The sequence below is a fragment of the Homo sapiens genome, chromosome 3 (genome assembly GCF_000001405.40).
Source record: "Homo sapiens chromosome 3, GRCh38.p14 Primary Assembly".
NCBI lineage: Eukaryota > Metazoa > Chordata > Mammalia > Primates > Hominidae > Homo > Homo sapiens.
The window spans coordinates 17,587,189-17,611,479 of record NC_000003.12 but is presented as its reverse complement, the minus strand read 5'-3'; the positions used below and the strand labels follow the sequence as shown (position 1 = coordinate 17,611,479).

Sequence of the window (24,291 nt, the reverse complement as noted above, 5' to 3'; positions counted from 1 at the left end):
TTCTTAGTCTTCTCCATTAGTTCTCCCTTCTCTGCTTGACTTCTAACATCGGCATGTTCTAGGCCTCTTCTTTTAAAATTCCATTCTCTCTTCTTTTAAACTCTATTTGTTCTAGATCTTTAAACACATTTGAGGCTTAAAGTATCATCTCTATTACATTTATTCTAAGAGTGACATCTCTAGTCAACACTTGTCTTCTGAGATCAGGATTTATGTCTGCCCATATTCTATCCATTTTCACTTTGAGATGTCAAAGTCACTTTACAATATAAGTTCTAATCCCTCCCCAGACACCTCCCTTTTTTAGTATCATCATATAACCCACTGCATGAGCTAGAAATTTAAGATTCATTTTTGATTTTTCTTTTTTCATTCATCATCATTATCATTATTCACTTCATTATCAAGTTCTGTTGAACTTCTCTCTCCATGCCCTCCAGTTTTCTCTAGTTTTATTGACTTATAGACTGAGATGGAGTTTTGCTCTTGTCGCCCAGGCTGGAGTGCAATGGCATGGTCTCGGCTCACTGCAACCTCTGCCTCCCAGGTTCAAGTCATTCTCCTGCCTCAGCCTCCTAAATAGCTGGGATTACACGCAGCTTGCCCAGCTAATTTTTGTATTTTTAGTAGACATGGGGTTTCACCATTTTGTCCAGGCTGGTCTCGAACTTCTAACCTCAGGTGATCCACTTGCCTCGGCCTCCCAAAGTGCTGCGATTACAGGTGTTAGCCTCCACGTCCGGCCCAATTTTCTCTAGTTTAAAGGAGCGACTTTCTGCTAGAAGAAACATCATGATTTATATGTCTGTATTTATTCTACCAATTATAGCCATCTTTACATAGAGACATACAAGTAAGATTAGAAGTAACCTTAAACTATCTTGTTAAAGATACTGATTGCAAGAATAAGGAATTTGGGTGGTCGCTGAGTGCTTATTAGTAAGAGATCAGATTACTTTTGCAGCACTTAATGAGATTGAAAAAGTGGGAAGAGGCTGGGCGCAGTGGCTCATGCCCGTAATCCCAGCACTTTGAGAGGCTGAGGCAGGCAGATTGCTTGAGGCCAGGAGTTTGAGACTAGCCTGGTCAGCATGGTGAAACCCTGTTTCTACAAAGCATACAAAACAATTAGTCATGCATGGTGGAGCATGCCTGTAGTCCCAGCTACTTGGGAGGCTGAGGTGAGAGGATCACTTGAGTCTGGGAGGTTGAGGTTGCAGTGAACCATAATCACGCCACTGCTCTCCAGCCTGGGCCAAAGAATGAGACTCTACCTCAAAAAGAAAAAGTGGGAAGAGACGCCAGATGAGATGACTAGTTAGGAAGCTAGCAGCTTTAGCAGCTTAGTCAAGAGATATTCAATGCTTATATTTGGATATGATATTGGAAAATGAAAGACACATTTGAGAGATACTATAATGTTACTCGATAAAAATGGGCAACAGCTTGAATCTGAATGTACAGAAGAGAGAATTACTGAAGACTCACAAGATTTCCCCACAAGATGACATATGTAGAGTAAAGGTTTTGGGGAAAGATAATGAGTTGTTTGTTTGAGATACTGAGTATAAGTTGGTGGTATGGAATGTCAGGTAGAGACATTTAGGGAATGATTGGAAGTGGTGAGTGGGTTTCTTCTTCAGTCCTAGTTTCCTCTGATAATATACTGACTGTCCAAGGCTGTGTTGAGAAGTCCTTTTAGGCTGTGTATAGGCAACTGGCAACGTGTCTCTTGGGTGTTGTGTCCTTGCCAGCTGTGGTATGGGTCTTGGGATCCAGGCCAGAACTATAGATAAAAATTTGGGAAACTTCCTCAGAGGATGATAGTTGAAGGCATGAAATTTGAATGGGACTATGAAACTTCTTCCCCAAACCCCCAAAAAAGATAAGGTGAGAAAACAGGTAGCCAAAGATAGAGCTTGGAGAACCCCTATGTGTTCATAAAGTGGTGACATTAGAAAAAGAGTCAGAAGCTGACAGGTCAGGTCGGTGGTTGGAAAGAAAAATTATAGAAACAAGAGGAAGAAAATTTTAGGAAAGAGGTCCTGGTTATTAGGGCTACAGTGTAATCAAGGAGTATAAAGGCTTGGGGAAGGACATTCATCACATTTGAACCATTCAGAGAACATTTTTTGTAATTCTAAAAGGGCAGGAGTTGTATAACAAGGAGTTTGTACTCTTAAGATAATGTTAAAAACAGATGTCCCATACAGAAAGTGAGGATAGTTTTTGACCAGTTAAGTAAGCAGCTAATACTAATATTTTGCTAGACTTTGAAAAAGTTCATAAAATGTGAAATAACTAAATGATAATTTCAAAAAATCCATCTTGGATTGGAAGCAATTAGGGATAGGAAATAAAAAGTATGGTAATTAGGCCCTTTTGAATGGAATGGTGTGCATAAACATGGGAATCTTCTGAAAGCATGTTGTAAAACATTGCAGATTTCCAGATGATTCTGAGATCTAGGAAGCAAAATAGTGGTTAAACAAATGGTAAGGAATAAGTGTAGGAATACCACTGGAGGCTGCAGAGCTGGGTGGGGAGTTGGCAAACTGCTCTCACTTTTGGCAGCTACAAAGTGATACTCTTAAGTAAATTGGGCTGGTTTGCTAAGAATAATGATTTGTGACTGGTTTATGCTGATTCAGGAAAGAAACAGGATATATTGGATATATTTTAGAATCCCCCTGCTCCTCAACCCCCCATGATCTGGCCAAAATGGCAACTAAAAGTTTATTGTAATTACAGAAGCAATTTGGTATAGGAGTAGAAAGCGATGAAAATACAACAGATCTTCTGAGAAGGGAGAAAGAAATGTTATTTCCACTTTTGTCACACGTTAGCATTTAATATATTGTGTAATTCTAATTTTGTGACTCTTAATGAAGAGTTAACCCAACTGAAGAAGACAAATGAAAAGGAAAGGAATAATCATGGATATTAGGGAAAGCAGACATACTAAATGAAAATCAGGAACCTAATTTTTACGTATATATTCACCAAAGCTTCTGAATTATCTTACTAAAGTGCCTATAGATCCTCTTGGGTATCCTAAAGTGACGATCATGTCAGAAAATATGGCAATTTTTTCCCCCTTTTTACTCATTATGTATTTTGTTTCTTTTTTTGATCTTACTGTGCTATCTTGAAGTTTTATTACAGTTGAGTAAAAGTGATGATAATGGGCATCTGTGTCTTACTCTTTTTTGTTTTCGTTTTTGAGACAGAGTCTCGCTCTGTTGTCTGGGCTGGAGTGCAGTGGCAAGAACTCGGCTCACCACAACCTCTACCTCCCAGGTTCAAGCGATCCTCCTGCCTCAGCCCCCCTAGTATCTGGGATTACAGGCACGCGCCACCATGCCTGGTTAATTTTTGTATTTTTAGTAGAGACGGGGTTTCGCAATGTTGGCCAGGCTGGTTTTGAACTGATTAAAGGGCAGTGCTTCTAATGTGTCACCATTGTGTATTATGTTTCCTGTAGAATTTTGGAAAGATACATTTATTTCCCTTGATCACATTAAGGTGGTTTTCTTCTAGTTCTAGTAAAAAGTTTTTTTTTCAATTTAAAAATCATGAGTGGTGTTGAATGTCAGAATAGTTTTTCTGAATCTATTGAAATGATGCTGTAGTTTTGCTCCTAATGGGTTGCCTAAAATGCAGTGTTTTAATAACAGAAAACCTCTAGTAAACTTCAGAAACAAGGAGGACTGTTAATCCTGTTCAACAAGTGAGCAGTTATTTTTCTTTTTGATTACCATAGGTTCTATTCTGGGTACTGTGGCCTATGGTGTGTGTTTGTGTGTTTTTGGGGGGTATTGGCGGGGGCAAGGAATTGCATCTCTTCAGAAGTCAGCAGGAATTATGCTGAATAGGGGACTAAAAGGGCCCATTATGAATTTGCAACTGTACTGAAGCTTTTTTTTTTTTTTCTTTAAGCTCAACCTTGATTTGTTTCCTTCGCAATCTCTGAGAACTGCAGGTTTCAAATACAAAAAGAAAATAACATTTATAGTTAGATCCAGGTGTATTAAGTTACCAGAATGAGGACAGAAAGATTGATAATTTGGATTCAAATTTATGTTGAGTTGGAAGTAAAAGCTGGAGGGAGACTGCAAGCTACCACAGGTCATTATATAAAGCTCTAAAAAGGATTTTATTCCAATTTTATTCACTGCTATATAAGGATATTTTTGTTAATTTTTTTTTGCTGTACACATTAGATATTATTGAGAAAATATTTTAAACTGCAATTTGTATTGATGGATTGTATTACGTTCATCTAATACTACCTTTAATTTCTTGTACATAATGAAGGTTTAACAATTATTTTTGGTAAATGGTCATCTGAGTTTTTAGATCATCTTTATTCTATGAGATGTTATCTGCATACTACTTTCAAAGGAGATATTCTGGAAAATCACTGATTTTAATCTAATAGTTACAGCAGATATATATATCTGGTTAGTTTAAACCATGGCTAATTATTCTCTTTGGTAAAATCGAACTAATTATTGTAAAGGAATTTGATTAAGCCATTTCTTATCATTTTTTTCCTCTCATTATGTTGCAAGACCTATCTTGAGCTGGGATTTTCTGTCTTATCTGAAGCTGTTGGTGTGCATCAGGATCGTTTTTTGGGAGTTTTGATATTATTTACTGGCTTTTGGTTATTTGTTGTTGTTGTTGTTGTTTTTCAGTATAGAAATGACCTCTTTGTCAAAGTGTATAATTTGATCCTAACAAAACAATTTTAAAAACCCATGAACTGAACCTTGTAAAGGTTTAATATTATAAAATGCTATATTTAAGTTTTCTCTCCTGAAGGATATTCTCTCATATTTAATTATATTGAATTAAGCATTTCTTATGCTGCTAATTTTTATTTATATATTCTAAAAATTGTTATAAAAAGTCACCAGTATCATTATTACTTTTCTTTTGCATTATCATTAATTACACTATTCTTGCTTTATATATATTACAGATAGCCAAAGGTTTGAGTAAAAGAAAATAAAAATACTTTCTTTTTTTGGACGGGGTTTCACTCTGTTGCCCAGACTGGAGTGCAGTGCAATCACCGCTCACTGCAGCCTCGCATTCCTGGGTTCAAGCAATCCTCCCAATCCTCCCAGCAGCCTCCTGAATAGCTGGAACCCCAGGCGCATGCCACCATGGATGGCTAATTTTTTAATTTTTTTGTGGAGCTGGTGTCACTCTATGTTGCCCAGGCTAGCCTTGAACTCCCTGGGCTCAAGCGATCCTCCCTCCTTGGCTTCCCAACGTGCCTGATATCACAGGCATGAGCCACTGTACGCAGCCCTAAAATACTTGTGGTGAAAATATTTTTGGTAAAAATTAGACTCTTCTCAGGAGCTTCTGATTGACTTTATCAGGAGAAGGGGAGGTGTGGGCAGTAGAGTAGTCATGAAATGAGAGACCTACTTTATTTGCGTTCTAGTCTATCACAATTTAGACAGGCCAACTTGCAAAATAAATGTGTCTAGAACTAGAGAGCAAGCTTAAATGATTTATTGATTTTTTTCAGAGTATAATACAGAAGTCAGTAATTTGGTGAATGGGTCTTCATCTTTGTATGAAAAAGTCTATTCAATATTATGAAAACATTTATTACACATAACATAAATATAATTTCTGTATTGCATTATTGGATATTAACAAAGTCTTTATTTCCCCCTTAAACTTAGAAGTCTCATAATATTTGTCGGTCACAATTGAGCATGTTAATATATATGTGTTAATATTTACTGGTATGCTTCCTAAAAATGAAGCATACTTTCCTGATCTTTAATCATAGAAGTAGATAAAATGAAGCTTAGGTGAACTTTGTTTTCCTGCATGATCAAATTTTCTGGTTACTAAAAAAGACTATCCTTTTCCTCTTTTTAAATATTTGTTCCTACTGCCCAAACTCTTTCAAACACAATTTAACGTTTGTGGGATGATTAAATTTGCACTTTAAGTTCTGAAAATCACAGGTGCTGCTGAGCAGCATTCTAGTTGCTAAAAATGCCAGGTTGAACTAGACATTTTTATTACATGTAATTCAACACATTACTTATGACTGAGTTCAGCTAAGATTTGAGGTCCTGAAAAATTGTAGGGTTTTCTGATGTATATGGTCTCTAGGGTATTATAAATTTGCTTGTGTTTGTTTTAATTGTGTGGTTTAGTAAAAGTAGTTAATACTATGTGACTAATACTTATTGTGGCTTAGGAGCTTGACTCCTTTAAAAAAAAACCATGTTGATGAGTCACTCATTCATGCAAAGACAACCTGAGATTGGTGATTGTATGAGTTGGAGAAGGCTTGTCTGTTAGGAAATGCAGCCTAGCTGCTTTGTGAAGAGGAGGTTTTGCTCCAAAGAGAGTTGTTTTTTGTTGAAGAACATTATCCCAGAAGAGAACTGTACCAATGTAAAGATGGATATTTTGGGGATATGGAAGCCTGAGACTAAGTTGAATTCAAAATATCATGGATCTGGCTGGGTGCGGTGGTTCACACGTGCAATCCCAGCACTTTGGGAGGCTGAGGCAGGTGGATCGCTTGAGGCCCGGAGTTGGAGTCCAGCCTGGCCAACATGGTGAAACCCTGTCTCTACTAAAAATACCAAAAATTACCTGGGTGTGGTGGTATGCACCTGTAGTCCCAGGAACTCAGGAGGCTGAGGCATGAGAATTGCTTGAACCCTGGAAGTGGAGGTTGCAGTGAGCACTGAGGTTGCAGTGAGCACTGGGCAACACAGCCAGACTCTGTCTCAAAACCAAACCAAAAAATCATGGTTCTTAGCAAATTGATGGTGAGTAAAGTTATATGTAGTTACATTGTTTCTAGGCACCAAATCTTAATTACGTACAGCTGAAAATAGACTAAGCTACTGAGGGTCAAAATAGAGTATAATCATAGTCAAAAGAAAATATGCGCAATAATTTTGGAAGTTAGGCTTTCAAAAAGGTCTCATATTTGAGAATTAAAATGATTTACCAATCTCTTTCAATTTATATGTAATATATGTGGTAGAGTCTTGTTACCCTCTGAGCTCTGTTTTCTGATAACATTTTTCTTTTGTTATAAGAGCTAGAAGGACTGGTTTAAACTGAATGTTACTGCTCTATTTTCAATGTGAAGGATGTCTAGTCTTCTGTTAAGAGTGATGAGTTCTTCATAAGGAAATTCTGGGATTGCCTTTAAGAAGTACTTAAAGGCACAGTGGCTCCTGCATGTAATCCCAGAACTTTGGGAGGCCGAGGCAGGTAGATCACTTGAACCAAGGAGTTTGAGACTAGCCTGGGCAACATGGTGAAACCCTGTCTCTACAAAAAACAAAACAAAACAAAGAAATTAGCTAGGTATGGTGGTGCTACTTGGGAGGCTGAGGTTTTCACAGGTTGAACCCCAAAATTAGGGTTCAGTCCAGGAGGCCATTTGGGTTCTTGGCTTCATGAAGGAAGGAATTCAAGAATAAGCTGACAGTAAAGTAGAAGCAAGTATATTAAGAAAAGTAAAGGAATAGCGCCGGGCGTGGTGGCTCACGCCTGTAATCCCAGCACTTTGAGAGGGTGAGGCGGGTGGATTGCTTAAGGTCAGGAGTTTGAGACCAGCCTGGCCAACATGGTAAAACCCCATCTCTACTAAAAATACAAAAATTAGCTAGGCGTGGTGCGTGCCTGTAATCCCAGCTACTCGGGAGGTTGAGGCAGAGAGCCAGAGGTTGTAGTGACCCGAGATTGCGCCACTGCACTCCAGCCTGGGCAACAAAGCAAGACTTGGTCCCTCCACCCCGCCGCCGGCAGAATAAAAGCCAGAATAAAAGAATGACTTTGATTCTGGGGGCTGCTGGTTGGCTATTTTTATGGTTGTTTCTCGATCATATGCTAAACAAGCAGTGGGCTATTCATGAGTTTTCCGGGAAAGGGGTGGGGAATTCCGGAACTGAGAGTTCCTCCCCCTTTTAATCATATAGGGTAGATTCCAGATGTTACCATGTCATTTGTAAACTGTCATGGCACTGGTGAGAGTGTCTTTTACCATGCTAATGTATAAGAACCTTAAGGATGACCAGAGGTTGCTTTCGTTGCCATCTTGGTTTTTGTGCGTTCTTCTGGCTGCTTTACGCATCTCATTTTACCAGTGGGGTCTTTGTGATTTGTACCTTGTAAAACCAGTCCTGCCAAACTCCTGTCTCATCATGAGAGAATCAGTTGAGCCAAGGAGGTTGAGGCTGCAGTGAGCTGTAATCATATCACCACACTCCAGCCTGGGTGACAGAGCAAGACCCTGTCTCAAAAAAAAAAAAAAAAAACCAAAAAACTTAAAGAATCTTTTTGGAACTCTTCCTGTTTACACCTATTTTCTTTGGAGAGAGGATGGAGATAGTCCACAGATCTGAATTTTCTAGGGAAGTTTGCTATTATTTAATGTTAGTATGCTAATTTGGTACTTGAAGACTTACTTAGGCATTTGTCTGTGTTCATTCCACATTTATACTAGTGAGGCTCAGGATGTATTTTGGTTCCGTCTGGCCAACCTGCACACTGGCTTTAAGGATTTAAGTGAGGAATGCCATTAAAAAATCTGATTGTCGGCCGGGCACGGTGGCTCATGCCTGTAATCCCAGCACTTTGGGAGGCCAAGGTGGGTGGATCACGAGGTCAGGAGATCGAGACCATCCTGTGGCTAACAAGGTGAAACCCTGTCCCTACTAAAAATACAAAAAAATTAGCTGGGTGTGGTGGCGGGCGCCTGTAGTCTCGGCTACTTGGGAGGCTGAGACAGGAGAATGGCACGAACCCAGGAGGTGGAGCTTGCAGTGAGCCGAGATTGCGCCACTGCACTCCAGCCTGGGCAACAGAAAGAGACTCCGTCTCAAAAAAAAAAAAAAAAAAAAAAAAAAAAATCTGATTCTCTCGTATTATGGCATAATCAAGAGTAACATTTTGAAAAAAGTCTAGGAGTTGTCATTTAGAATGTTTAATCTTAATGCTCATCACATTGACTGAAGCACAGAGCTTAGCTATCTACATTTTCAGAGAGAGCTTTCTTTTAGTACTGAGCACCAGGGATCGTGTATTTCGGAGTGAAGATAAGTCAGAGGAAATCAATGTCTGAGCTCCATGAATCACACATTTCAATGTTATGAGCGCATGGGTATAGAAGACACGAACTTCAGGTTTCCAAGGTATTCCATTGAGACAGATAAGGGAGTCACTTTAATTCACCACATGGGTTTTGATACACATTACTGATAGGTATACTTAAAGGCATTGTCGTGTTGTATAAAGGTTATGGGTTGTGGAATATCACAAACCTGAGTTAATACCACTTATTGGCCGGGCGCAATGGCTTACGCCTGTAATACCAGTACTTTGGGAGGCCGAGGTGGGCGGATCACGAGGTCAGGGGATTGAGACCATCCTGGTTAACACGGTGAAACCCCATCTCTACTAAAAATACAAAAAAAATTAGCCAGGCGTGGTGGCAGGCGCCTATAGTCCCAGCTACTCAGGAGGCTGAGACAGGAGAATGGCGTGAACCTGGGAGACGGAGCTTGCAGTGAGCCGAGATCGCGCCACTGCACTCCAGCCTGGGCAACAGAGCGAGACTCGGTCTCAAAAAATAAAAAATAAAAAAAACCCACTTATTAACTGTGTGATATTAAATAAGTTAGTTTACTTAACAATGCCTACATTTCTTCATCTGTATAAGTGGGAATAATGTTAATAATAACGTGGGGTTTTCCCCTACAGAGAGTTGTATGGGAATTAAATGAAATGACAAGTTTCTAAAAACAAAAAGTGGAGTCTAGGATATCTTCCTCCACCCTCACTCATCCCAACCCCAGGTATCATGGGCTAAGGAATTAATCTCATTAGGCATTGCTCACAAGGGCAGTTATAAGTTTAAAAGTTCATTTTAAATATTGGTAGTCTTCTGTTTGTTTGATTTTGAGACGGAGTTTCGCTCTTGTTGCCCAGGCTGGAGTGCAATGGCGCAATCTCGGCTCACCACAACCTCCGCCTCCCGGATTCAAGCGATTCTCCTGCCTCAGCCTCTGGAGTAGCTGGGATTACAGGCATGTGCCACCACGCCCGGCTAATTTTGTATTTTTTAGTAGAGACGGGGTTTCCCCATGTTGGTCAGGCTGGTCATGAACTCCCGACCTCAGGTGATCCACCCGCCTGGGCCTCCCAAAGTGCTGGGATTACAGGCATGAGCCACTGCACCCGGCCCATATTGGTAGTCTTTAGATGAGGGCATTTCTGAATGTTTCAGTGAAAGGTAGTTGTTATTTCAATGACTATATAGGCTACCATGTTTAAAAGCAGCAACAGTTTTAGAATAGGTGACCAATCTTCAAGGCATTTTTCCTTCCAGCATGTGTTTAGGAGATGGCCCAGAATTTATTCACTTATGGGTGGTCCTGTAGGGAGGACTGGGAAGGCTATTATTCTAAGTAGGATTATCAGTCTTCTTGAAATTCATCCTTGTAGAAGCATGGTAGTTAACCATGAATTTACTATCACTTCCTTATTCTGTTAACTTGGATAAGAGAATAAAATGTAAAGACAAACACGAAATATTTCAAGGATTATTTTAAAAAAAGATTGACTTTGGGCAGTTTTTTTCCCCCGCCCGGTCTTTCAAATGTCCTAAGGGCTAGGTGCCTTATTTTGGCTTCTGCTCTTGGAGAGTAATAACCAACTGACTTAGAGCTTTTACTGAATTTCCAGAATCCAAAATAGAAAATATTAAACTTAAAGAAAAAAAGTTATGACCCCTTTTGGTTAGAAAACCAAAAGTCTTGTCATATGACATCATTTTTATAATTTCCCTCTCATTTCATTTTACTGCTTTATAATAGTTTAACCTCATCGAACATTTTTCTTATGGAATTTTGAATATTATTATTTTTAAACATTTTACTGCGATGAGACCATAGTAATAATCTTGCATGGAATCTTTAAATATTTTAAAGGTGTTTTTGAAGAATACCTTTAAAAATTATCCTTAGTAGCAAAAAATGACATTAGCAATATGAATTAATTCACTGCTGATTTATTGAGCTAGCAGACAGACTGAAACACTAGCATTAATAAATACATGTGACCTTCATGTATATATTTTACTAGTTTGTTAGAAACCTACTAAACAAGTAATCAAAATGCAAACCTGACAATTCAGTTGGTTTATATACACCTATCACCTCCGTTATTAACATAACATAACATAACATAACATAACATATTATATGAATCATAGAGATCACAACTTGACAACTTCTAAGAGAGCGTATTCATTTGGAGATATGTCTAGGTTTGAAATGCTGTTTAGAACCAAGGGGACTTTCTCAAAATCTCAAAATACCTGTGGAATTAGTGGTAAGATCTATTTTCTCAGCTTCAGTTTAGTCAGAGAATTCAAATTATTTACCGTTATAAAAGTTAGCAAAATTAGAATTGATATCATTCACTCATTCCTTTATCTTTAACATACCTTAATTGGGGTGCAAGATACTGAGGTAGGTTTTGGGGACATATAGTATCCTGCTTTTTTTCCCTGATCAACCTTTTCCCCATCCCCCTCATTTCCCTTTTATACCTTTTGAGATGGGAAAGTTCCCTTGACCCCTAGGCAGGACTTTAGACAGGGGTGTGGCTTGCTTACTTGGCCGCCACCTTGCTCAGACCCCTTGCAGGAGGGGGAGCATGCAGGTGATCGAGAGCCAGAGCTGGAGTGAGCACTTTTGGGCTCCTCTTGACCCATGACAGGTCTAGGGGTGTGTTACAATTAATACTGTCTTTGCAGTTGCCATCCGTAGATGGCTAAGTGTTAACCAGCTCAATGGAAAGTCAGGGTGGCAGCATTTTATACACTGCCTTCTTTGTACCCGGGTTCTTGTTCGGCATCCAGGAAGAATCAAGTCATATGGACTTGAAGGATGCGGAGATTTTATTGAGTGATGGAGGTGGCTCTCAGTGGAATGGGGAGCTGGAAAGGGGATGGGTTGGGAAGATAATCTTCCCGTGGAGTTCAACCGCCCCCAGCCAAACTCTGATCATCCCCAACCGAACTCCTCTCGACCTTCAGGTGCTTATTCTCTTCTCTCCTCCTCTGCTGCGCCTCTCTGCTCTTGTGTCAGTGGAGTTTGGGGGGTTTTATGGGTACATGATGGGTGTGTGGTGGGCCAGGGTGGTTTTGGAAAAAGCAACATTTGGGCGGGGAAACAGGGATAACTTTTCATTTGGGGCTGTGGTTTCCAGGCTTGAGGGTGGGGCCTTTGTGGGGGAACATCCCCCTTTTACCTAGTACTTCCCTGCCTCCTGTCTGTATCACTTTCATGGCACAAATAACCTTCCTAATGCCTAGATTAGAAACCTTGGAAATTTACTAAACTTACTTTTGTTATTTCTCTATGTACTACCATTTCTCTGTTCTTTTGTTTCTCAGTCCTCCATAGCCACAATTCTAGTTTGGTTATTGGTACTGTACCTGACCCTTAAAGCTATGTTTCTCACTAAGTTCCTGATAATTATCCAACCATTTTGAAATCCAGTTTAGATTTCCTTTATTTTTTGTGTGAGGGAGCTAATAGGCAGTGAGCTCAATAAAGGAAGTGTGGTAGTAAAGTAAGTGATGGAAAGTGATAAGCCAAAAGCAGAAAAGATATATCTAAATTACTGAGTCATTTGAAGAGCTAACTTACCTGTTTTGTCTCTGGTTTTAAATAGTGTTGCCCTCTTATTTTCTAAGAAGTAAAGCATCCTCAGAATTCCAGAATGATTTGGGACAGTGACTACTTTTCATTGGTTTTCTTGCAGCACAAACAGTTTTGGTTTGGTTTGAGTTTTTCTTTTTGCAGTTTGAAGAAAATGGATTACAGTGTGTATTGGATAAAAGGTGACAGACAGGTGATATTATAAAAAGGGAATAGATTTAAAAAAAAGAACTCTGAAACAAATGTTATAATATAAGGAGTAGTTAATGAGATGCAGAATAAGAAGTCTGGAACTGAGAATTTAGAATATAAAACAAAGTTATGAACAGTGCTTAAAGTTTCCAGCCCATTTAATCCAAAATAATTTCTTCAAAAATCTTGTTTTTATCTTAGTTCCAAGGACATACTTACAAGAAGAGAATCCTTTAATATAAAATATACTTGTCTTTTTATTGTGTTGTGAAGAAGTCAGTTTTGAAAACTCCCATGCCTTATGCCTACCACAGGAAATGAACAAAGACTAATGTAAGCTTAAGGGAATTTTTCATCTCTTGGAGTCAAGTTGAATCTGCAGCTTCTTTAGGGAAACCGTAGTTCCTGAAATTTTCTCACTTCTCAGACAATTTGACTGGTCTTTAAGATAGGAATAAACCTCAAGTGCCCAAAGCAATTCTAAGAATTGACCCAGCCTCTTTTGGCCCATTTAGATAGAGTGATGGGCTGGGGTTGGGGGGCGGGGGGGCAGGGAATGGCTACCTTATTTCTTATTTTAAGCTAAATTGAACTTGGTATCCAGAGCTTGAGCCTATATGGAACCAGGATATATAGAAGAGAGGTTACCTAGTTGGCATCAGGAGTAATACGGGAAGATACAATGTTTGAATTTCAAAAAAATTCTCGTTTTACATTATACATGCATTAGTTTTTGTTCTGCATGGAGCTTAGGGTAGTGTGGGATCTAATTTAGTACCAACTATGGTTAGTGGAAAATGACTGTGAGTATTTGGGACAAAAATATGTTATATACTAATATGAGATTAAGAGTCATTTTGGAAGTTATGTTTTAATTATTAGAACACCTTGGAAGCATTTCATTTAACATAAAAACCAGAGGGACAGACTTATGTCATTACTTTGGGGATATTTGGCTGTATAAAAGTTTATAAAGTTGAAGAAATTTCATGAACAGAGTGGGTAATGATAATGTAAACCAAGTTTCCCATAGTTACAATTCCTTTTAAATCAGTATAGCATGGTGTAATGGTTAAGACTAAATGGATACTGGGGTCAGATTGCTTGGGTTCAAATCCCAGCTTTACCATTTGTTAGTTATAAGATCTTGGGCAAGTTAGTGTTTCTGAGTTTCTCTTATCTGTTTTTCTGGGGGAGGAGACAGGGAGGAAGGGTAGGCATTAAATGAGATACTCCATATAAATATCAATATCATAGTAAGCACTCAATAGATGTTCTTTTTACTAAAGTCCATTTTCAAGGAACTTTTACTATCTTTGGCCTTTTATTCCCTAGCACGGTCATGATGTAAGTCATAGGGTAAAAGCAAACAAATAAACTTGAGTGGGTATCTTTGTTTTTAGAAGAATACAAGGAAATACTACGCAATAATTTAAAAACTACAGCTGCCTACATATAACTTCACAGATAAGCCTTGAAAGAATCATATCATCTTAAAATTTCAAAATTAAAAAATAAGTTCTGTTAACCTTGGGTGAAAGTTTAGAGTTTTATAATTTATTAGAATCTGTAAGTCACCAGAACATTATTGCCAGACCTGACTTAGTGTGCCAATAGATCAGGTTAATGGGAGCTGTCGGGTCATCAGTGTTCCATAGTGACAGTTGTAGTTCATGCAGAAGGGAAAGTGGACATCCTTTTAATATTTTGAGTGATTGGCAGTGTTGGGGAGTATGGTAGACATTTTCTGTCCTGAATACTGCTTTGGTACCAGTGTATGTTAGTGCCCATTGGTGTCACCAAGCAGGGCTATATGTAAGCTTTTATTCTTTTTTTTTTTTTTTTTTTTTGAGATGGAGTCTCTCATTGTTGCCTGGTCTGGAGGGCAAATCTGCTCACTGCAACCTCCGCCTCCTGGGTTCAAGCCATTATCCACCTGGTGTGGTGGCTCATGCTTGTAATCCCAACACTTTGGGAGGCCAAGGTGGGCGGATCACGAGGTCAGGAGTTCAAGACCAGCCTAGCCAACATGGTGAAACCCTGTCTCTACTAAAAATACAAAAAATTACCTGGGTGTGGTGGTGGGCATCTGTAATCCCAGCTACTTGGGAGACTGAGGCAGGAGAATTGCTTGAACCCGGGAGGCAGAGGTTGCAGTGAGCCCAAATTGCGCGACTGCACTCCAGCCTGGGCGACTGCGAGACTGTGTCTCCGGAAAAAAAAAAAAAAAAAAAAGGAAAGCTGGAAAAATATTATCTTCCACTAACGCATCAGAATATTTGGGAGAATCTGATTGTGAATCTCCATTTTAATAAGCTTCTCAAGTGATTGTTAATATGCACACTAAAGTTTTAGGACCACTGCTGAATTCCCTACTGATGGTTTTTAGGCTATTGGCCTCTGACTTTTCTGATGGAACCCCTTTTTTTCCACATGGGGAAAGGATGGAAGTAAGCTGTTCCTAATGACCTGCCATTCTCTATACCATGAAATTTTCAAAGCTTACAGGTCAGCCTTAGAACAATGAGATCTGTGAATAGCCTTCTGCTCTAAGTCTTTCCTCAGCTGGCACTCCTATGGTAGAGGAACATGTGACATTAATAGTGATGCACAACCCTATGTATCGTGTCAGAATCTTCACTTAACATTTTCAAAAATGTTAACACTTCTAGCAAGGTAGGTATTACTGGTGAGGAAATACTGCCAGTAGGAAGTACTGGCCAGGATTGTAACTAAGATTGATTTATTTTAAAGCTCAGACTCTTGACACTACACATGCCGTCCTACTTTTTAGTGGAAAGGGCTTGGGGTGTGGGTTCAGGGAGCCTTAAATTGGAAGTATGACTTTTATCACTTGCTTTTCTAATGACTTTACACTTCCATAACTTCAGTGTCCTCATCTGAAAAATGGGCTTGATAATTCTTACATTTTAAGATTACTGTGAAGATTGATGACCTAAAGCATATTTTTAGAATGCTTAGTATAGCTCTATCCCAGAGTAGGCATTTCAATAAATGGTAACTCTTATTCAGCATTTAAGATAAGACATAGAATGCAAATATGCCCCATGGAGTTAACCAATTTTAGGCTAAATGAGTTTCCCAGACTATAAAATATCATATGCTTTTTTGTTGTGGTATGATAGCTAGAAACTAGGAAGTTATTGGATGTGTGAAGAGATTTTCCTTTGGGAAGAGAATGTGGGCCTCCATTTTTATTAAACTACCCATATCCTGGCAAATTCTAAATTTATTTCTAACCCAGTGTATTCGGGTTCTCTAGAGGGACAGAACTAATGGAATAAATATATATATAAAGGGGAGGTTTTTAAGTGTTAACTGAAATGATCACAAGGTCCCACAATAGGCTGCTTGCAGGCTGAGGAGCAAGAAGAGCTAGTTTGAGTTCTAAAACCAAGAACTTGGAGTCCGATGTTCAAGGGCAAGAAGCATCTAGCACGAGAGAAAGATGTAGGCTGGGAGGCTAGGCCAGTCTCTCTTTTTACACTTTTCTGCCTGCTTATATTCTAGCTGTGCTGGCAGCTGATTAGATTGTGCCCACCCAGATTAAGGGTGGGTCTGCCTTTCCCAGCCCACTGCCTCAAATGGTAATCTCCTTTGGCAGCACCCTTGCAGACACACCCAGGATCAATACTTTGTATCCTTCATTTTAATCAAGTTGACACTCCGTATTAACCATCACACGTCCACCCCTTGTCAATTGGAACCCATTCGCATCTCCTGAGATCATACATAATCCTTAAATAAAGATGATAATAAGGTCATAATTACACCTAACATAATACAACTATCCTTTGTACAACTGGAAATGCACCAATCCCCAACCCAAATACTATTACATATAGTTAACATTACTTAAATGCTGATATGAAGTCGGTAAATCTATGTCATGTGATAAAGGAGAAAGGAAATGAAGGTATTTTCTTAGTACAAGTGTATACATGCACAAACATGTTTCTAACAGAAGGAGGAAATATTCATGACAATTACAGTCCATGTTTCTACAGCTGGTCACTGTAGCTGGTATTGATTCTGTAGCTGGTATTGATGACTACCTTTTACTACTACCTATTCTGTATTCCCTTTGCCTTCAGCAAGCACCTCAACAGGTTGTGGTTTTTTTCCTGGTGGAGTGACCCAGACCTTCATTCCTAAGGGTTCTGGACCGTTTGTAGTCCTGCCTGGATTGAGCTGTTTCCCATTGACCTTAATCACAAGGCATGGTAATACTAAGAGACGCCCTAATGGATTTCCTGTATTCCATGCACACTCTTCCTTTCCTCTGTTGTGGAGTAGTACACTGATTTCATCTTGATAGTCCAGGTCATTCACCCCAGCCAACACTATAACTCCTTTCTTAGCCTGTTGGCTTAAAGGTAGGAGGTGCCCAAAGTGTCCAGGTGGCAATCTTAACTTCCAATTTAATGGAATCATTGTTGTGTCTCCTGGTGCCATCGTTCCTACCTCTGGAACTATGATTTCTAGGCCAGCAGAACTTAATGTCATGAGAACAGGAAGCAAAAATTTTGCTAGTGGATCACTAGGGGTGATTGGTGAGTGGTGCCACTTCCACTTCCACCCTTTGATTCCTAGAGCCGTGAATCATGGCTATGGGAGAAACAGTACCATATATTAGACGCCGATTCAGAGCATACACAGCCTTCTGGAGAACTTTGCCCAAGCCTTGCAAAGTATTGTCACCTAGTTGGCGTTGTAATTGTGACTTCAAAAGGCCATTCCACTGTTCTATCAATCTAGCTGCTTTAGGATGATGGGGAACATAGGAAGACCAGTGAATTCCATGAGCATAAGCCCACCGCTGCACTTCTTTAGCTGTAAAATGAGTGCCTTGGTCAGAGGGTGCTGTGTGGAATACCATGACAGTGGATAAGGCATTCCATGAGTACATGGGTGCTAGTCTTGGCAGAAGCATTGCGTGCAGGATAGGCAAACCCATAAGCGGAGTAAGTGTCTGTTCCAGTGAGGACAAACCTCTGCCCTTTCCATCGTGGAACAGGTCCAGTATAATCAACCTGTCACCAGGTAGCTGGCTGATCACCCTGAGAAATGGTGCCATATCGAGGGCTCAGTGTTGGTCTCTGCTGCTGGCAAATTGGGCACTCAGCAGTGGCCGTAGCCAGGTCAGCCTTGGTGAGTGGAAGTCCATGTTATTGAGCCCGTGTGTAACCTCCATCCCTGCCACCATGACCACTTTGTTCATGGGCCCATTGGGTGATGACAGGGGCAGCTGGGGAAAGAGGCTGAGTGTTGTCCACAGAAAGGGTCATCTTAGCCACTTGATTATTAAAATCCTCCTCTGCTGAGGTCACCTAATCTTCTATTCCTCTGTCAACTGATCATAGGGAACTCCCCATGAGGTCATCGGTGCAAACTGAGGGAGAGAAGGCAGGGTGGCAGGATCGGAGAACATGGGCATTTGAGCTACTTCCTCATGTAACTTACTTGTGCCTTCAGGACCTGCTTGAGTCCGATCATGTGTATACCACTTGGATTTGATGATATAATGCTTCTGTGCACGACCCACTTTATGGCTAGATGAGTCAGAAAGCACCCAGTTCACAATAGGCAGTTCAGGTAGCATGGTGACTTGATGACCCATAGTCAAACATTCAGTTTCCACAAAAGCCTAGTAACAGGCCAAAAGCTGTCTCTCAAAAGGAGAGTAGTTATCTACAGAAGATGGCAGGGCCTTGCTCCAAAATCCTAGAGGGCTCCACTGTGATTCACCTGTGGGAGCCTGCTAAAGGCTCCAAATAGCATCTCTATCTGCCACTGACACCTCAAGGACCACTGGATCTGCTGGGTCATATGGCCCAAGTGGCAGAGCAGCTTGCACAATAGCTCGGACTTGTTGCAGAGCCTTCTCCTGTTCTGGACCCCATTCAAAACTGGCAGCCTTTCAGGTCACTTGACAAATGAGCTGGAGTAACAAACCCAGATGAGGAATGTATTGCCTCCAAAATCCAAATAGATCCACTAGGTGTTGTGCCTCTTTCTTGTTTGTAGGAGGTGCCAAATGCCGCAACTTATCCTTCACCTTAGAAGATAAGCCTTTGGATCTCCACAGGCCCCACAGCATTGGACCCCTAGAAATTTTACTGAAGTAGAAAGTCCCTGAATTTTAGTCACATTTACTTCCCATCCTCTGACACGCAAATGTCTCACCAATAAGTCCAGTGTGTTTGCTACTTCTTTCTCGCTGGATCCAGTGAGCATAATGTCATCAATGTAATGGACCAGTATGATATCTTACGGAAGCAAAAAGCTGTCGAAATCTCTCCGAATAAGATTATGACATAAAGCTGGAGAGTTGATATACCCCTGAGTATATCAGGACAATAAAGGTATATTGCTGGCCTTGCCAGCTGAAGGTAAATTGCTTCTGGTGGGCCTTATGGACAGGAATGGAGAAAAAGGCATTTGCCAGGTCAATGGCTGCATACCATGTACCAGGAGATGTGTTAATTTGCTCAAGCAATGAAACCACATCTGGTACAGCAGCTGCATTTGGAGCCACTACTTGGTTAAGCTTACGATAATCTACTGTCATTCTCCAAGATCTATTTGTCTTCTGCATAGGCCAAATAGGAGAGTTGAATGGGGATGTAGTGGGAATCACCACCCCTGTGTCTTTGAAGTCCTTGATGATGGCAGTAATCTCTGCAATCCCTCCAAGGATTCAATATTATTTTTGTTTACTATTTTTCTAGGTAGAGGCAGCTCTAATGGCTTCCATTTGGCCTTTCCCACCATAATAGCCCTCACTATACCAGTCAGCCAATGTGGGGGTTCAGCCAGCTGCTAAGTTTACCTATGCCAATTATGCATTCCAGCACTGGGGAAATGACCATTGGCTGAGTCAGGGGACCCACTGGACCCACTGTAGGTCGGACTTGAGCTGAAACTCCAATAATTACTTGACCTCCATAAGCCCCTACTTTAACTGGAGGACCACAATGAAGTTTTGGGTCCCTGGAATCAATGTGAGCTCAGAGCCAGTGTCCAGTAGTCCCCCGAAATGTCTGATCATTTCTCTTTCCCCAGTGCACAGTTACCCTGGTAAAAGGCTGGAGGTCTCCTTGGGGAAGGATTTGAGAAAGATTCACTGCATAAATTGTCGGTAATATAGTGGGGTCCTTCCTCAAAGGGACCTGGCCTTGCTTTCATTCAAGAGTTTCTGGATCTGTAAACTATCTCAAGCCTGGAAATTAATTGAGGGGCCATGATTCTCTGGGGTTTTTGTTTTTTTTTTTTTTTTTTTTTTTTTTTTTTTTTGACAGATCCTTTCTTTGTAGCCCAGTCTGGAGTACAGTGGCGCAATCTCGGCTCACTGCAAGCTCTGCCTCCTGGGTTCACGCCATTCTCCTGCCTCAGCCTCCTGAGTAGCTGGGACTACAGGCGCCCGCCACCACACCTGGCTAATTTTTTGTATTTTTAGTAGAGACGGAGTTTCACCGTGTTAGCCAGGATGGCTGTCTCCTGACCTCGTGATCTGCCTGTCTCAGCCTTCCAAAGTGATGGGATTACAGGTGTGAGCCACTGTGCCTGGCCCGATTCTCTGTTTTTATGATTCAAATTAGTCTTTTGCCCATTTGACCTAGAAGTTTTCTGCTTGTGTAAATTAGGTAGGAATGCAGTAGGCTTCCTATCACTTTCGCTTCTAGGAACACCATGATTAATTAGTCAATGCCAAAGCTCTACGTGAATCAGACTATTCTGATTGCTGCTTTGCCACTGCTGTCTATTATGGTAGCTATGCCCACCTTGCCTTTGACAGTTTTGTGTTGCCACTTGGCCCCTGCCACCTCGGGATCCAACTGTTCCCATCGTATTTAAATATTTGTAGTTGAGTGACTGCGGTTCCCACTGTTAGATCTGACTTGTAGAGAAGAGCAATTATAGGGCTCTTGAAAGATGCAGGTGCTGCCCTCACAAATCTGTTTGCAAGGCATTGGTCAAGGGTGTATCTTCTGGACCCTCCCAGTTGGGATGAGTAGATCTAAAGTGACTAATCCATTCCACCATCCCAATCTTCCTAAGCCTTTGGATTCCTTCCTCTACATTAAACCAAGGGAGATCAGGTATTTCCAATTTGCTCATAGTGTGCCATCTTTTAATCCGTATTTCAGCCAACCAAGCAAATAAACCACTAGAACCTGTTTTAACTCCTCTAGCTGCAACACTAAATGCAGAGTCCCTACTTAGTGGGCCCAAATCAATAAATTCAGCCTGATCTAACTCTGTGTTCCTTCCACCATTATCCTACACCCTTAATGTACATTCCCATGCCTGTTCTCCAGATTTCTGTTTATATAAACTGGAAAACTCAAACAGTTCTTTTTGAGTGTAGCATACTTCCTCATGGGTCACACTCTCAACCTCACCTCTGGGGCCCGCTGGGACTTTAGTCTAGTTATAGGTCTAGAAACAAACAGGAATGTTGTAGGGGGGAGTGGGTGCTGATCTCACAGCTGCTTTTGGACCTTTGCACTTGCTGTGCCCCATACTGGAATACTTCCCATACCTTTCAGATCCCATTTCAAACTGATCTCTGGGCTATATCACATCTCCTTTTATAAAATCTTATGGCTCCTTCTCCCCATATTTTAAAATAGCATTTATCGGTTTGCAGGTAGGTATTCACATGGTTATTGGATGCTGTCTCCCCAAGTAAAATATAAGTTCTATGAGGGCAGAGACAATTTCAGTGCTTACAAAGGTTTAGAATGGACAACATTCTAAACCTGACAGTAGACAACAAATATTAAATGACTGAAATGCCTGATGGGGCAATTAAAATACGAAGTGATTAATTCTAAAATGTGTTAGTCTGTTTTCACACTGCTGATAAAGACATACCCAAGACTGGACGATTTACAAAAAGCGAGATTTATTGTACTTGCAGTTCCATGTGGCTGGGGAGGCCTCACAATCATGGTGGAAGGTGAAAGCATGTCTCACAGGGCGGCAGACAAGAGTCAAGATCTTGTGCAGGGAGATTCTCATTTTAAAACCATCAGATCTTGTGAGACTTAATCACTATCACAAGAACAGCACGGGAAAGACCTGCCCTCATGATTCAGTTACCTCACACTAGGTCCCTCCCACAGCACATGGGAATTCAAGATGAGATTTGGGTGGGGACACAGCCAAACCATACCATAAAGTGTGCTAGTATATATGAGATCACAGTGTTGGCATGTTAAGCATTGTTGTTTGAGAATACTTAAGTTGTTGTAGCATTGGTTTGATAAGCTCTTGAAGCCAAGAGCTTGAGACCAGCTTGAGCAACCAAGTGAGACCCCCATGTTTACAAAAAGAATAAAAGCATAAGTAGTATTTTGAATTACCCAATACAGCTTAAAATCTTCTCAGAACTTCATTGTATTGTACTTGAATGAACTTCACAATAAAAACTTTCCCCTTTTGTTGAATCTGCACAGTATTTGAAGTTTATAATCCAAAAGGCTATCACTGGTTATATACAAATTTATGTTTACTATGTGGAATGTGTTTGTTTATTTTAGTTGTCTAAGGCATAAAACCTTTAAAATTTTACCAACCTTGTTAAGACAAGAAATCATGGATATTTTAGTAGGTTTCTTAGCTCTTACGGAAGTTAGAAAGAAATCAAGAAGGTTTAAGTAATATTGAGATTATGCTTTTATGTTGACTTTTTATATTTGGGCCTTTATTTACTGCTAGTCTGACTATTGTTGGCAGATTGAAGTGTATTTATGAAAACTCCTAAGACTTTAGTATTTTATTGAAAATTGGTTTCATGCTGTTGTTTATGTTTTAAAATTAGTGCTCTCAATGGGATTTTGGTTTTCATCTATCCTAAATTCTCCCTAGGAGTGCACAACTTCAAAAAAAGAGGCACAGTCAGCAGAAAAAAGAGGTGGTCTGAGCATTTGTGCGTTAAATATGCATGTTAATTAGGAAAAAAATTAGGAAAATATGAAAACAGATGTTACATAAATTATTGCAGTCCCAGGGCAGCAGTAACTTATACACTGACAATAATTTTTGTATGTGCATGTGTATATCTATTTCTAGATTTCTCAATATTTATGTAATTCCTAAGAGAATAACTAGAAAAAGAATTGGTATATCCTTTCAGTGAGACTATGGTAAACATTCCTTCTGCATATGGATTTCTGAGAAAGTTTAGTTGTTTCATATAGTCTTACTGTAGAGATTTTTTTTGTGTTTCCTAATTCTGCCCATAGTGTTCTCTTTTTTTTTTTTTTTCTCCTTTCTTGGTTTCTCTGATGGTATGTCAATTTGTTCTTTTATTGGCTATATCCTGTCACAACAAGAAGGTTAATTAAGGATGTTGGCAGTGTAAGAAATTGAAAATTGGCCTAAAATTAAAAATTGGTCTAAAGTATGTATTTAGAAATAAAACACATTACAACTACTCAGTACACTGATTGTAGTGTTACTTTTTCTTGTTACCGTTAACACTTTCTGAAGAAATAGCCATCATTCTCTGAATAGTAGTGACATAGTACTATGATAATATATATTGGTACTTAAATACAGATTTCATCAAATACACGTATGTTGGAATAGTTGAAAGCTATTTGAATATCTTTTATTCTAAACAGGCATCCAAAGAGAATAAAAATGGTCTGTATTTTTACAAAAGAAAGATGAGAAATAGTCATGCTTTGTTTTAGTGGTATAGCAATTTTTAGTTCAGCCATACACGAAAAAATGTGAATATAGCACTCTGCAAGGAGCAGCTGATGATATTTAGATATTTTCCATATGTATAATATAATTCAGAAAAGTATTGTTTGTTACTTTTCAAATTAGATTGAAAGTTAAAATAAGAAAATGCAGCATCACAATGTAATGCGTAGTTCTCTTCACCAAACCGACATACAAATAAAACATGAATTGTATTCAATAAAATGGGTATATCTAAAAGGACAAAAAACCATTTCTGGAAATCCTGTTTCCAGAAGAGTGACTTTTGTTACTCGATTTTAGTAGCATGTGATACTAAAATGTGTTTGAAATAATTTATATTGAATCTCAGTAAATTTCAGTTGGAATCTGTTGTCATGTTTTTCAGTTTCATGTTATTGATTATGTTTTACATTATATTAGCTAACTGCTGCTATCTTTTTATATGTGTGCTAAGCCACCAGTAAGCTCTTAACAGGTTGTTGAAGCTTAAGAACTAATAGAGAATGAAATCTAGGGGAAGTTGATAATATGTTCAGTAATTTTTTATTATTAACAGGTTCTTTACTTAAATTAGATAGCCCAGTTGAGAAATTTAGTTGTTATTCTTACAGATTTTATG

At 39.7% G+C, this 24,291-nt stretch overlaps 1 protein-coding gene across 65 annotated transcripts in view, besides 1 other annotated feature; it reads left to right on the top strand.

Annotated features, from left to right (window-relative positions):
- TBC1D5 (TBC1 domain family member 5) overlaps nucleotides 1-24,291 on the top strand; it is a 585,470-nt gene that overhangs the window by 131,152 nt on the left and 430,027 nt on the right. The window lies entirely within an intron of this gene.
- Nucleotides 12,477-12,677: a silencer, noted in NCBI's record as "peak4555 fragment used in MPRA reporter construct". NCBI's record gives its function as "represses an SCP1 promoter by STARR-seq MPRAs in K562 erythroleukemia cells {active_cell/tissue: K562}" and the evidence as "EXISTENCE:reporter gene assay evidence [ECO:0000049][PMID:32103011]".